Source organism: Homo sapiens, chromosome 9 (genome assembly GCF_000001405.40).
Source record: "Homo sapiens chromosome 9, GRCh38.p14 Primary Assembly".
NCBI lineage: Eukaryota > Metazoa > Chordata > Mammalia > Primates > Hominidae > Homo > Homo sapiens.
The window spans coordinates 125925213-125939367 of NC_000009.12; the positions used below are offsets into that span (position 1 = coordinate 125925213).

The 14155-nt window shown below is 38.0% G+C and overlaps 1 protein-coding gene across 12 annotated transcripts in view; it reads left to right on the forward strand.

Moving 5' to 3' along the window:
- PBX3 (PBX homeobox 3) overlaps positions 1 to 14155 on the forward strand; it is a 220005-nt gene that overhangs the window by 177840 nt on the left and 28010 nt on the right. For all 12 annotated transcript variants that reach the window (NR_024122.2, NR_024123.2, NM_001411009.1 and 9 more), the window contains 2 exons: positions 4443 to 4633; positions 10260 to 10395. Coding sequence is in view for 10 of the 12 variants with exons in the window: in NM_001411009.1 (NP_001397938.1) it covers positions 4443 to 4633; positions 10260 to 10395 (327 nt within the window). In the remaining 2 variants the exon portion in view is untranslated. The remainder of the gene's footprint in view (positions 1 to 4442; positions 4634 to 10259; positions 10396 to 14155) is intronic.

Genomic DNA, 14155 nt, shown 5'->3' on the forward strand with positions numbered 1-14155 from the left:
CAAAGATTACCTAGCATAGCGTTTCCCGAAGAGTTTTTCCTAGCATATTGGTCCACAAGATGCCGTAGAGCTGTGCTGTTGAATATGGCAGCCACTAGCCACTTGTATCTAATGAGCACTTGAAGTCTGACTAGTCTGAACTGAGATGTGCTGTCAATGTAAAATACACACTAGATTTCAAAGAGTACAAAAAAGGAATGAAATACCTCATTAACAGTTTTTTTGTCTTTCTTTGTTTCTTTCTTTCTTAATTTTCTTTCTTTTCTTTCTCTCACTCTGTCACCCAGGCTGGATGCAGTGGCACAATCTCAGCTCACTGCAGCCTCTGCCTCCTGGGCTCAAGTGATCCTCCTACCTCAGCCTCCCAAGTAGCTGGGACCACAGGCGTGCCACCATGTCCAGCTAATTTTTTATATTTTTGGTAGAGACGGAGTTTCACCATGTTGCCCAGGCCAGGATATTTTTTATATATTGGGTTAAGTGAAATATATTGTTGATTAATTTCACCTAATTCTTTGTATTTTATTTTTTAATATGGCTACTGAGAATTTAAAAATTTAATATGTGGCTCACAATGTATTTCTATTGGACAGGATTACTCTAGAGAGAAATTTTGTGGCCAAATTTATTTGGGAAAAAGTTGGATATGCTATTTCTCCTTGAAGATTTATTACAAATATTAGGATAGGAATACTGAAGAGTCTTACCCACAAAAAGTTTTTAAGATTTTGGTTAACCCAGCAATTCCCAAACATATCATATTGTTGGACTATTAGTTAACATTCTATGGAACTAGCTGTAGAACTATAGAATTTGTTAATCCCAGTTTTGGAATAGTTCTACTTCAATTATCTTTGTTTTACTGATGAGAAAACTGAAGGGTAGAGTTGGTCACATTACATAACTTGGAAATTATATAAACATCTCCTTAGGGAAAGTTCAAGAAAAAGATATATACGTATATTTATTGGTAGGGTGACCACTTGTTTTTAATTTGGCATAAAATCATTTAAATTGATAATATAGGCCAGGTATGGTGGCTCACGCCTGTAATCCCAGCACTTTGGGAGGCCAAGGTGGGCGGATCACTTGAGGTCAGGAGTTCGAGACCAGCCTGGCCAACATGGTAAAACCTTGTCTCTACTAAAAATACAAAAATTAGCTGGGCGCAGTGGCATATGCCTGTAATCCCAGCTACTTGGAAGGCTGAGGCACGGGAATCACTCAAACTCAGAAGGCGGAGGTTGCAGTGAACCAAGATCATGCCACTGCACTCCAGACTGGGCAGCAGAATGAAACTGTCTCAAAATAATAGGCCAGGTGCTATTTATTACAGGCTCATGCCTATAATCCCAGCACTTTGGGAGGCTGAGGCAGGTAGATCACTTGAGGTCAGGAGTTCGAGACCAGCCTGACCAACATGGTGAAACCCCATCTCTACTAAAAATACAAAAAAAATTACCCGGGCATGGTGGCACACGCCTGTAATCCCAGCTACTTGGGAGGCTGAGGCAGGAGAATCGCTTGAACTTGGGAGGCGGAGATTGCAGTGAGCCAAGATCGTGCCATTGCACCACAGCCTGGGTAACAAGAGCTAAACTCCGTCTCAAAAAAAATAGTAATAAGATAAAATAAATTGATAATATAGTGGGGAAGATCTTAAATTTATTTTTTTAAATCTTGGTTTCTGCCTTCAACTTCTGGTTTTAGTCTACAACATTGCTTAATGTTTTACTGTGTCATATCCTGGGACAATGATTATTAACCTTTTAAAATTATAGACTGAGATTCTGAAAAGAAAACAAAAGCTTCACAGATTCTCTCATCAGAATTATTAATATGCACACAACTTGTGTAGGATTTCAGGAGGTCATTGACCTTCTAAACCTATCCATTGACTGCAGATTAAGAATTCTTCTCTTATGATTCAGGGATAATGAATTTATGGCTATTAACCAACATAACTCTCACTCTTGAATTGTAGTATTAAAAAGCCCACCAATCTGTAGATGTTTATTAGGTATGTATATTGCATAATTCTACACTGAAGAATCCCGTAAGTATAATATAGTGTCACCACTCACAAGGAATTTAATATTTCCTATGGCTTAAAACATATTTTTGAAAAAACTTTACATGATAAGACTCATTTTACCTTACCTTAGAAATATTTATGGAAAGCTCTATAAAATTTTAGAGTAAGTGAAATACACAGGGTTCAGGAAAGGTTAGTCCTCTAATGAGCAGTTAGAAAAACCATCATGTGCTATATGTGAGCAATGTTTGGGATATCTCTAGGGAAGTGGACATTATTATAACTTCCAAACATGTCTTGCATTGATCAGTGATTTTTCTGTCTTCTCACTCCATCAGGGACACCCGTGCAGTAAGATGCAGAATTTCCCATCCTGCATTTTTAAGAAAAATGCCAGAAGAGACTCTTTTTCTTCAGGAGTATAAACTGATGCTTTATTTACCAGGCAGTACTGGATTTCAGTGTAGGCCCAGTTATACAGATTTATAAATCAAAGAGAATATAGATGAAGTTGGATGCAGTGGCACACACCTGTAATCCTAGCAGCTCAGGAGGCTGAGGTGGGAGGATCTCTTTAGGCCAAGAGTTTGAGACAAGTCTGGGCAACATAGCAAGACCCTGACTCTAAAAAAGATTTAAAAATTAGCTGGGGGCCAGGCGCAGTGGCTCATGCCTGTAATCCTAGCACTTCGGGAGGCTGAGGCAGGTGGATTGTCTGAACTCAGGAGTTTGAGATCAGCCTGGGCAACATGGTGAAACCCCATCTCTACTAAAATACAAAAGAAATTAGCCGGGCGTGGCGGTGTGTACCTGTAGTCCCAGCTACTCGGGAGGCTGAGGCAGGAGAATTGCTTAAACTCAGGAGGCGGAGGCTGCAGTGAGCCGAGATCACACCACTGCACTCCAACACTCCATCCTGGGCGACAGAGCAAGACTCTGTCTCTACAAAAAAAAATAATAATAATAAAAAATACATAAAAAATTAGCTGGGTATGGTGGCACATGCCTGTCGTCACAGCTACTTGGGAAGCTGAGATGGGAGGATTGCTTGAGCCCAGGGGCTTGAGGCTGCAATGAACTATGATCATACCACTGCACTCTAGCCTGGGTGACACAGTGAGACTCTGAATATTAGGGGAAACAAATGTGTGTGTGTGTGTGTGTGTGTGTGTGTGTTTTTGTGTATGTACTGAAAGAGACAATGTCTGAGGATTTTTTTTTTTTTTTTGAGACAGAATCTTGGAATCTCGCTTTGTTGCCCAGGCTGGAGTGCAGTGGCGCGATCTCGGCTCACTGCAAGCTCCATCGCCTGGGTTCACGCCATTCTCCTGCCTCAGCCTCCCGAGTAGCTGGGACTACAGGCACCCGCCACCACGGTGGGCTAATTTTTTGTATTTTTAGTAGAGATGGGGTTTCACTGTGTTAGCCAGGATGGTCTCGATCTCCTGCCCTCGTGATCCACCCGCCTCAGCCTCCCAATGTGCTGGGATTACAGGCGTGAGCCACCGCGCCCGGCCTGAGGATTGTTAACTAAAAAGTTTGAGACCCAGATCTGATCCTTATTTTCTGTTGGACATCCCTTGAAGAGTTGAGCTGCTTTACAGAGATGGCTTATATCCACTAAAGGCCTGCACTACAGCTAAATTATAATAGGTCATTGGAATGCTTGGCACGCAAGGCCCTTTATGTGCTAATTCAAACCTGAATCCTTTTGCTTCTTTACATATTATCTGTATTCCTATTTGCCATTCTCTGAACTTGCAACATACTGTTATTTCTAGTACCTGGAATTCCTCCTGACTTCCATCTTTATCCACCTTTCAAAGATGCTACCTATTGTTTAAAGCTCAATCCGTGAAGCCTACAGATGAAAATATTCCTTCCTTGGAACTTAATATCTTCCTGTTAGTCTTTGCACTGAATTAGTTTTTTATACATTTTTTCTCACCAAAGGCCAGGCCTGCATCTTGCTCATTTCTGTGTTCCTTATAGCACTGGCAAGAGTTTGAACTTTGTAGTTGTTCAGTAAGCATTTGTTGATTAAATGTAAAACTCCAGAGAAAATAGGTGGTACTTAGTATTAACAATTAACATATATTTTTACTTGTATATGGGAATTGATAGGGAGCATCCTCGAATGGGAAAACATCATTTTGGAACTGGACAGGGGTGGGTGGGAAGAGTAGTTGAATGCTGTCTCCTTGCACGTCTGACCATGCACGGTTTCAGAATTCTTGCTGCCTTAACTACTATTACTACCATTTTACAAGTGTCTTAGTTTTCATTTTACCCTACACACTGTATAATGCTATTGGTGAATGCAAATGAGGTGTAAATTCAGATGAGTGAATGTCTTCGTGTGATAGTAGATAGTTTCCAAAGGAGTGATTTTTTTTTCCCATTACAGGCATGTAATGAATTTACTACACATGTGATGAACCTTCTCCGAGAACAGAGTAGAACACGTCCCATTTCTCCAAAAGAGATTGAAAGAATGGTGGGCATCATCCATCGAAAATTTAGTTCCATTCAGATGCAGCTCAAACAAAGCACTTGTGAAGCAGTTATGATTTTAAGATCAAGGTTCCTTGATGCCAGGTATGTGAAGCCATAAATCTATTGCATGGCTTTCCCCCGTCTGTCACTCCTTGTGTATTATTTTCTGTAAAACTGACCAGTTGGTCTTAGATTCTTTTGGCCATATGAGTCTTTTGTACAATGGACAGGTAATTCAACTCATGGTTCCTGTGCTGTCAAGCTTTCCTGTCTGGGAATGGTAATGTGGGTTAGCTGCCAGTTTAGTGACTCAGGAAATGAATAGGATTAGTGTCTCTGCTAATGACTTTAGGAATATGTAGCCTTTCCATTCTGATGCTAAAAGGTATTTTTAAGGATAGTTTTCTGCATATAACTGTTTTAACAAGGGGTATTTTGTAAGAATTTCTTAATGTTACACGGGTTGTGCATAATATGGGAAAATACTTGGAGATACTGATACTCCTAAGAAGGAAGTGGCATTTCAGTTAATAGCAGTTACCACAAAACTCCAGAATCTGTATTTCCAAATCAAGAAAGAAAGCCTACCATTTTTCCTGTAAGGATGAAAATTTCCCTTTATCTGAAGCTTTCCCCAAGTTTCACAGGAGTTAGGTAATATATTGTATATGGTAATAAATTGTCTACAGTGACCTACTGAGTGACAGAACAGAAGAATTGTCAACGTCATAGTGTACGCTGCCCCTGTAGGGATGCCTCTCGGGGCATTGCTAAAGCTTATGATGAATCTGCAGCTTTGGAAAGAAGTTTCTATTTTGTTTTTCTTTCTTCTCCCATGGAATCTGACAGAGGTGATAATTATCATCCAAATCTCACAGTATTAAAGGAAATAACTAAGATAGCTTCTCAACTGGAAAACAAAGTGTGTGGAGCATTTTCAGTGTTTTTCATTTTAGCTCTTTATTTTCATCTCAGTTCCTGCCCATCCTTTTGTACATGGGCTAGCACAGTACCTACTAGTCTCCCTGTCTCCAGTCCTACTGCCCTCCAGCCCATCCTCCATATCCCTTGTCTGTTTCTATAACATCACCGTGCTACCATGATTGCTTTGCTTGAAAACCACAGTAGCTTTCCAATGCTCGATACATGCATACTTCACATATACACTCCTTAACCTGACATTTAAGGCCTGTTCCTGTCTGCATTACTTCTTTGTTGTTGTGAAGATTTTATTATTCTTTTTTCTATTTTAAAAATGCCAAGCTCACTATGGAAAGTTTGGAAAATATATGGAATAAAAGGATGAAGGATAAAAGTTAACCTCATTTTTATTACCTAAAGAAAAAATCACTATAAATGTTTTACAATATTCTCTCTCTTTTTGTTTGTTTGGGGGCTTTTTAAAAGAAATATTTCTGTGATGGGTCAATATGCATAATTTGGTCTGCTTTTTAAAAAATTTACCATGAATACATGAACATTTTCATGTAGTATAAGCTCTAATTATTAATAGCATTTTAACAATTGAAGTTACCAAATGGATATAAAATAAATAATGTCCTTAGCATTCCCTTATGCATTCCCTATGCACTCCACCCAGGCTGGAGTGCAGTAAATGATGCTATCATGGCTCACTGCAGCCTCGACATCCCATGCTCGAGTGATCTTCCTGCTTCTGCCTCCCGAGTAGCTGGGAGGCATTTGCCACCATGCTCGGATAATTTTTGTATTTTTTGTAGAGATGGTGTTTCACCATGTTGCCCAGCCTGGTCTTGAACTCCTGAACTCAAGCTATCCTGCCTCCCAAAGTGCTGGGATTATAGGCAGGAGCCACCATGCCCAGCCAACTATTAATTTTCATATAATTTCTTCCTTTCTTCCTTCCTTCCACAAATATTTATTGGTACTGAGGATATATTGGTAAACAAGACAGATTAATATACTTGCCCCAATTGAGCTTATATTCTACTTGAGGAAACAGACAGTAAACAGGTGAACAAATATACCATAACATTCTATTTAATAATGTAATTAAATGTAATAGGGTGATAAGTGGTATGCAGAAAAATAAAGCAAGTCAAGGGGAGAGAAAATGGAGAGGGTACTATTTTAGATAGATTTTTATTTAAACTAACATTTTAATGAAAATCTTCATTGATTGAACCTTTTTGGTCTTTAGGATTATTTCCTAAGGATCAATTCTTAGAAATGGAATTATTAGATCTGAGTTTGAACATTTTCAGTGTTCTTATTTATATATCACTAAATTGTTCTTTCCTGTGTTTCTTCCAAAATGAAATGCTTCATGGAATTATGTTTCTACTGCTTAGAATTCCTTCTTTTCCTAAGTCTAACCACTTACTTCCCTGGCTCCCACAACAAACTGTCTCTCTAAGCTGGTTACCAGTAATGAGTCATCATCTGTGAGGGTATCTGGAATGGAGCCCGGAATGGAACCAGTGCTTGTACTTGTTGGATCTAGTGAGATCTTGCTCATCGTTCCGGATCTGGTCTAAATGCTCGCTTTTCAGAAAATCCACCTTAATCACCCTGCTGGACTAGCCCTTCCTTCCCTTGAACACTTATACTATGTTTACGCAACTATTCAGACTGAAAGTCATGTAGGCTCCTTTTTCTTGTAGTTTTTCATGAACATTTCTTCTCTCCCTTAGTAAGCCACAGTGTCATTGAAAGCAACAGCCAAGACTTACACATTTGCATTCCCCACAATTCTAGCAAATGACTTACATGTTAGAGGCTACCAAAAATAATTTATTGACTGGCCAGATGAATGAATAATTCCACTTAATACTTTGTAACAGCTCAAATCAGGGTTAGAGAGGTAGCATCAGACGACAAAAAACATTTTAAAATTATTTGTCTAATTTGAGCATTTTAATAAAAAGCATTATGTAACAAAGATAGTAAAACATGTCTGATAGAAAGAAATATTTTCTAACATAATTGCTATCCTTATTTCTGCTGATACTTTCCCATTCTTGTCAACATGCATGCTTATTTTTTAAATAACTGCATTCATAATGTATACACCTAAATGATTTATTTTTCTTCCATGAAGAGAAAGTGTATTAACAGCCTAAAGTGAGCAGGGCCAGAATGAGAGAGTGGCAGAGCTTGGAGCAGAGTCTCTTCTCCCATAGAGATTGCTGTTAGTAATGTTGTGATGCTGATGGAACACAGGCCTGGACTGATGTGCCACTGCACACTGGCCTGAGGCATAGCCATTTAGAGTGTGGTGAACCCTGGGGGAGTGAAACTGAGGGGAAATGCTTAATGGGCATTTTCTACAGGATGCTTTCTAAAAAATAAATAACGTATAAGACCAAGTTCTCTCCTGTGCCTTCAAGTGAATGCAAATACTGAGCTTTGGTTCCATCTATTCTTGTAGTGCCTCCCAGCAAGCCCTCTGCACTGAGAAGGCAAGGGGCTCTGCTCTAGGCAAACATGCTCAGTCAGATATATGATTCCCTTGCTCACTCTGACTTCCCATGCTCATGTTTGCTTCATAATTGGACAAGACGAAGCATGCACCAATGCAAAACATTTAAGAATAAATTTGTGTAGGTCCGTCTCCTCTTCCAGTAGAAGTGCTGTAGTTTGGACACAGCCAGAATGTCCGGTGAGCTATTCCGTTTGTTCTCTGAGGTGTTTTGAAGTTTGTTAAAAACCACCCCTGGGCAAAAGTGATGTGAGCCAAACTTCTCTTTGCTTTTCTAGATATATTTCTTTTTGATCCTCCTTTCATACGTCGCTATTTCCCAAAGAAATGCACTTGTGTCATCTATTCCCATCTACCCTGGGCCTTGCTCCTGGGCACCAGGAGCTTGCTTACATATAGTGGAATTGAGTGGAGTGGCTGAAGCAGGGATACAGGGAGGGACAAGGAGGGTTGGAGCAGGCAGGTGCATATCTAAGGGGGCAGCTATCACTCAGCTTTAACCTAGAGCTGCCTTCTGAGAACATGGGCCCAGTACTGTTGGTATCCCAATTTTTCATAAGAAGTCAGAAACCTAGATTTTTATGAGCAGGTAATTACTGTGTGGTCTCAATAAATAATGTCTATGGGCCAGATAATGTCCATAAATTTGACATTTTCAGTATCTAGTCTAGACATTACCCATGCACCTACTCATCAGAGTGTACCTCTTCAATGTGCTCTCACCTCGGGACCTTGTCTTTCTTTTCAAGCAACACATGACTCCTGCAAAAATGCTAACTGTTCTTCTTTTTGGTGCATTTGTCTTCGTTCCGTTCCTTCCCTGTCTTCCCTTACCACCTCCCCATCCAGTTCATCATCAAATCCTGTTGATTTTAATCCCCAAATACATCTTGAATCTCATCTTCATCCTCTAGAAAACAATAGTTTAACCCTCCTAAAAATTATTGAAATTAAGACATTTCAGGACTAAAACCTGAGTTGTTTTGATCAGACCTAGATTTCTTGCTCCCTTGACTCTCCCTTAATGTTGAAATGTAGATCACATACTTAACCTGCCATATGAATGACACCATTTTGACTAGAAGAATCTCATAGAGTGCATACCTATACAACAGCCTACTGACTCTGTGTTTTCTGACTGTGGGATATCACAATTGAGAAGAATTAAGATTATTTGGAAGAAAGTATTAAGAAAATTATCTGGGGAAGGTATTTTCTAATTACTGGAGTACTTAATTGAAAGTGAATTCTGACAAATGATAATTTTCAGGCTGGAATTCTTTAAAATCTTAATAACAAAACCCAAATATAAATGACATTTTTGCTACTTGAAATATGTTGTTAATAAATGCTTGATCTTTTGAAAGTCTGTTACCCCCTTCCCAACAAAAACAAAAGATAACTTTTTGTTCTCTCCTCTTTGCTTAGTGAAGGAAATCATACCTCAGTCCAGGAAGTTGCTTAAGCAGAAAAACCTAGAAATCCTTCCCAATGCATTTTTTTTTTCCTAAACTTCCTTCTCTATCTCCCTCACTCACTCCTCCCATTCAATACATCATCAGGTCCTATTGCTTTTACCTTTCAAGTAGATCTTGAGTCTTGTTTTCATTGCTCTCACCTTGTGCCAAGTTACTATCATCTTCATTTTGACCAGTGCAATCATCTCCTAAAATGGGCTTTGCAGTTCCTTTCATGCGCTCCTCCACCTATTCTCAGCAGTCAGAATGATCTTTTAAAAACATAAAACTTAAAACCTTTAATAGTTTCCTATTGCACTCAGCATAAAATCCAAAACTTCTTGTAGCTCCACTGAGCTTCTGTAATCTGCCCCCTGCCCATCCTTCCAGACTCATCTCACACATTCCCTGTCTTTTACGGTGCCCCAACCTGCTCTAACCCTTTAGACAAGATATTTCTGTTTCAGAACTCTTCCTCTGCCCAGTCCTCTTCCCTGTAAGCTCTCTGATAGACCTTGTTTGTTCTCACTGGATCTTCATTGAATATCTAAAATATTAGGTCTTCAAAGAATGAAGCACAATAGTCTGCTTCATAGTCTGGTATTTTTCTCAGTGATCCTACATCTTAAAATGAGTTGGATAATGCCTTGGAGGATGTCTAGAACATAACGTATAATATCACAGAAATAAATTAGACCTTAAGGATGTTTAAAAAGAGAAATCTACTTTTTTGGTATCATCCTAATTAACCCATCCCTCTTAGGTTAATGCTGATTGTAACTGCAATTATTTTCTTTCACTCTTGTCATAGACGGAAAAGGCGTAACTTCAGTAAACAGGCCACAGAAATCTTGAATGAATATTTTTACTCACACCTCAGCAACCCCTACCCCAGTGAAGAAGCCAAAGAGGAGCTGGCCAAGAAATGCAGCATCACAGTGTCACAGGTGAGAAAGGACCCATGGGTCTGTCTTGTTCCCTGTGGAGACAGGAACCTCATTCCTTCCTCAGGGCATTATTATCAAATTTCATATCCAAATGTTCTATCATCAAAAAAGATATAAGGAAAATGTAGATATTTCCACAGTTTTAGGCAAGATTTTAAACCTTAGATAATTTTGAAAAACTGTAAGTGGCGAAGAATCAAGACCACCACCACCCCCATTCCCCAGTGTAAATCTTCTCTAGAGAGGACATAAACATGCCATGGGGAGAGACGCAGTTTACACTTAAGTGACTCTCCAGTAAATGGCATGTATTCCTGGTTTCCCTGATTTAGATGACTGACCTAAGCTTCTACCAGCAAGAAACCAATTTATTTGTTGCCAAAAGGAAATTTAATATAACTCTTTGGTGAAAGCTTTGAGGAATTCACCAGGCCCTTTCTTGGTAACATACTACAATGTTTGAATCCCAAGGATTTCTTTGCTTCCTTATTATCCATTAAACACAAGAATTAAATTCATGCTTTCAGGGTTTCTGATTTTGGGGTTTTTAAAAAAATGTTTATTTATAATAATTTCTGACCCTGAAGTTAGTTGTCATCTTCTAACAAAAATACATTTAGTTTTAGTCAGATAGACTGGTATTTGGACTGAGGATTGGAAACAAATAAATTAACAAACAAGTGTACCTCTTTAGAACATAAATATATCGTATTAGCATTACCTCTAAAATACAATTTTGTATAAATGTTCATATTATTGTTAATAGATTGACATTTGAAGAGCATTTCTTTATAGCATGCAAAAGCAGTAGTTTACCAACCAGTTTTTGTAGTGAAACTTAAGGAAAAACTGACGCTTGTCAAAAATTTCAGTGTTCACTAGGGGTCACATGAAACCACTTTTAAAAGTAGTTTCTAAATAAATACTTGTACTGTAGATAAAGTTCAAGATACTAAAGATCCCTTTCAAGTTCCAATGAGGGTCTCATATCAGTGTATGAAGTCATTGTTATTTGAGGGAATAGGGCCTGGGTGTAAGATGATTTCCAGCTCCTCTTTTGGCATTATTTTCTGTAGAAACTCAAGAGCAAACTTTGATTCATAACTAAGGTTTCATTCAAGGTTTATTGTCATTTCTCTTATGAAATGGTATATCTTGATTTCTTTTTACGCAGTTAGAAATGGAATATAATTGATTTGGATTACCAGCTTACATAGACATATATTATATAAAACATTACTAACTGGGTTACTCACTTCCATATGAAATATGGAGGAATAATATGATATGCCGGGTTAGCCAGAGAAGACAAAATTAAAAGAAGAATCGTTTCAAGTAGGATTTTATGACGAATGCCTTTTCCCTGAACATTAGTGAAAGGATTAGGTTCATGCCGAACACCGGATGATGATGCCACGCCTGGTTTTCCTGTTCTCACAACCACTCTCTGACTTAGAATTTGAATGTTTGTGGATGAGTTTAAGCATTTTCTTGCTGCCACTCTTTTTTAAAAAACAATTCTATAGTATATGCACCATTAGAGAATAAAACAGATTAATATCATCTATTTCAAAAACAATAGAATCTGGAGTTTTCATTAGCTGTAGTACTTCACACTTTGTGTGTAGTGTAGAGTGTGCTCAATACACACTTGTGGAATAAGTGATAAAAAGGTTTCCTTCTGGCTGTTCTGAACTAGGGAGTTTTAACTTCTAAAATAGGCTAGGAACCCACTTACCAGTGTGTTTTTTTTAAAAAAAACAGTTAATTATTAAATTTATTTCACTTGTTTTCTATGGAAAAATAGCTTTATTATGTTTTGAATTTTTTTTTTAGCAATTGCTGAGAAAAAGGTACAGAGGTAGAAATAATATAGATATAGCTCTGTTACCCTGTCTAAAAAGCAAACTTTCTGACCTTGTTTCTTCCAGGTCAGCCTTTCAAACACAGAATTTCAGAAATAAGTTATGCTTATAAATTAATGGCCTTTTGTTTAAGTTTTTAAAAAGTGAAAGCAAAGAATTTCTGTTCTAGGCCTGACAGGTCAACTGCTTTTGCTTTTTCTTTTTTAAAGACAGGGTCTCGCTCTGTCACACAGGCTGGAGTGCAGGGATATGTTATCACAGCTCACTGTAACTTTGAACTCCTGGGCTCAAGCAATCCTCCTGCCTCAGCCTCCTGAGTAGCTAGGACTACAGGCACGCCACCACACCCAGCTGATTTTTAAATTTTTTGTACAGACAGGGATTCACCCTGTTGTCCAAGCTGGTCTCGAACTCCTGGCCTCAAGTGATCCTCCAGCCTCAGCCTCCCAAAGTGCTGGGATTACAGGCATGAACCACTACACTTGGCTAACTACTTTCAAAAGAGAAAAAATATTGTTTAAAATGTAAATCATACTGAAATACAATTAAATTTAGAATCTAGAAATTGTTCATAGAGAAAACCAACTTTAAAAATATTGAAGCCCCCTGAAAACAGGCAACTGGAATAACACTATTTTTACTAGATTTAGAATATATGAAACTCTGATCTATTATTTACTGCAACTGCTTATAATAATAATAGGGAAACTTCAGAAGAAGTGTAAGGCAATATCTTTAGTGCTGTGAGGGCAGGCTAGAATTCCTTAAACAGGACATAAAATGTGTAAGGAACAAAAGAGAAGACTGATAGATTCAGTGGTAGAACTTTTGTTTATCAAAGTACTTAATAAAGACTGAAAACATCAACATGATACAACTATTCAGTAAAGATGGGATCAGATATAATTATCAATAGATATTAAATCTAGAGGAAAATTTAGATGAAGAACATGGTCTTAAAGTGTCTCTCCATAGACCATTTAAAGTTACAAGAGATTTAAAAAAAAAGTAATAGTAGAGTGGAGAAATGGGACAAAAACTTGACCAAGTGATTGGAATCAACATCACCAAGGAGGAGCAGACGGACATTGGGTGTAGTATTTCATCCAAGAACATAACCTGAGTCTAATCACAAGACAACACCAGCCAAATCCCAAATGAGGAATGTTCTATTGAAGACAAAAGCGGGGAAGGAGCATTGTTCTTTAAAAACGTCCAAGAAAGGCCAGGGAAATGTTCTAGATTAAAAGAAGCTAAAGAGATAGGACAAGTAATTGCAATACTTTACCCTAGACTGGATTCTGTACTGTGGGGAAAACCATACCATAAAAGATATTATTGGGTTAAATTTACTGAAATAAATTGTAATTGATAATTGTACTATGGTTATGTGAGAGAATCTCTTTAGACTTAGGAAATATACACTGACTGACTTAGGGGTAAAGGACCATGATGAGTATAACTTAGCCTCAGATGTTCAGAAAAAAAAAATGTGTGTTTGCATGTATATGTGTGTGTGTGTGTATATAAACACACATACACACACACACACAGCATGAGTGCCCACAAAGATAAAACAAATGGGGAAAAATAATAATAGGGGAAGGGCATATACAAATATTCTTTATGCTATTTTTATTGTTGCAGCTTTTTTCACATTTGAAATTATTTTCAAATAAAATATTTTCTAAACTGTAGAAACAGTCCACGCACTGCAAGAAGATATTTACAAGTGTATAAGCAACAGAGGATTAAAATCCAAAATATATAAGGAACTCCTATAAATTAATAAGAAAAGACAAAGAACCGATTTCAAAAATAGGCAAAAGAGTCAAACAAGGATTTCATGGAAGAAAAAATAGAAATGGTCAATTGTATGAAAAGATCCCCATTCT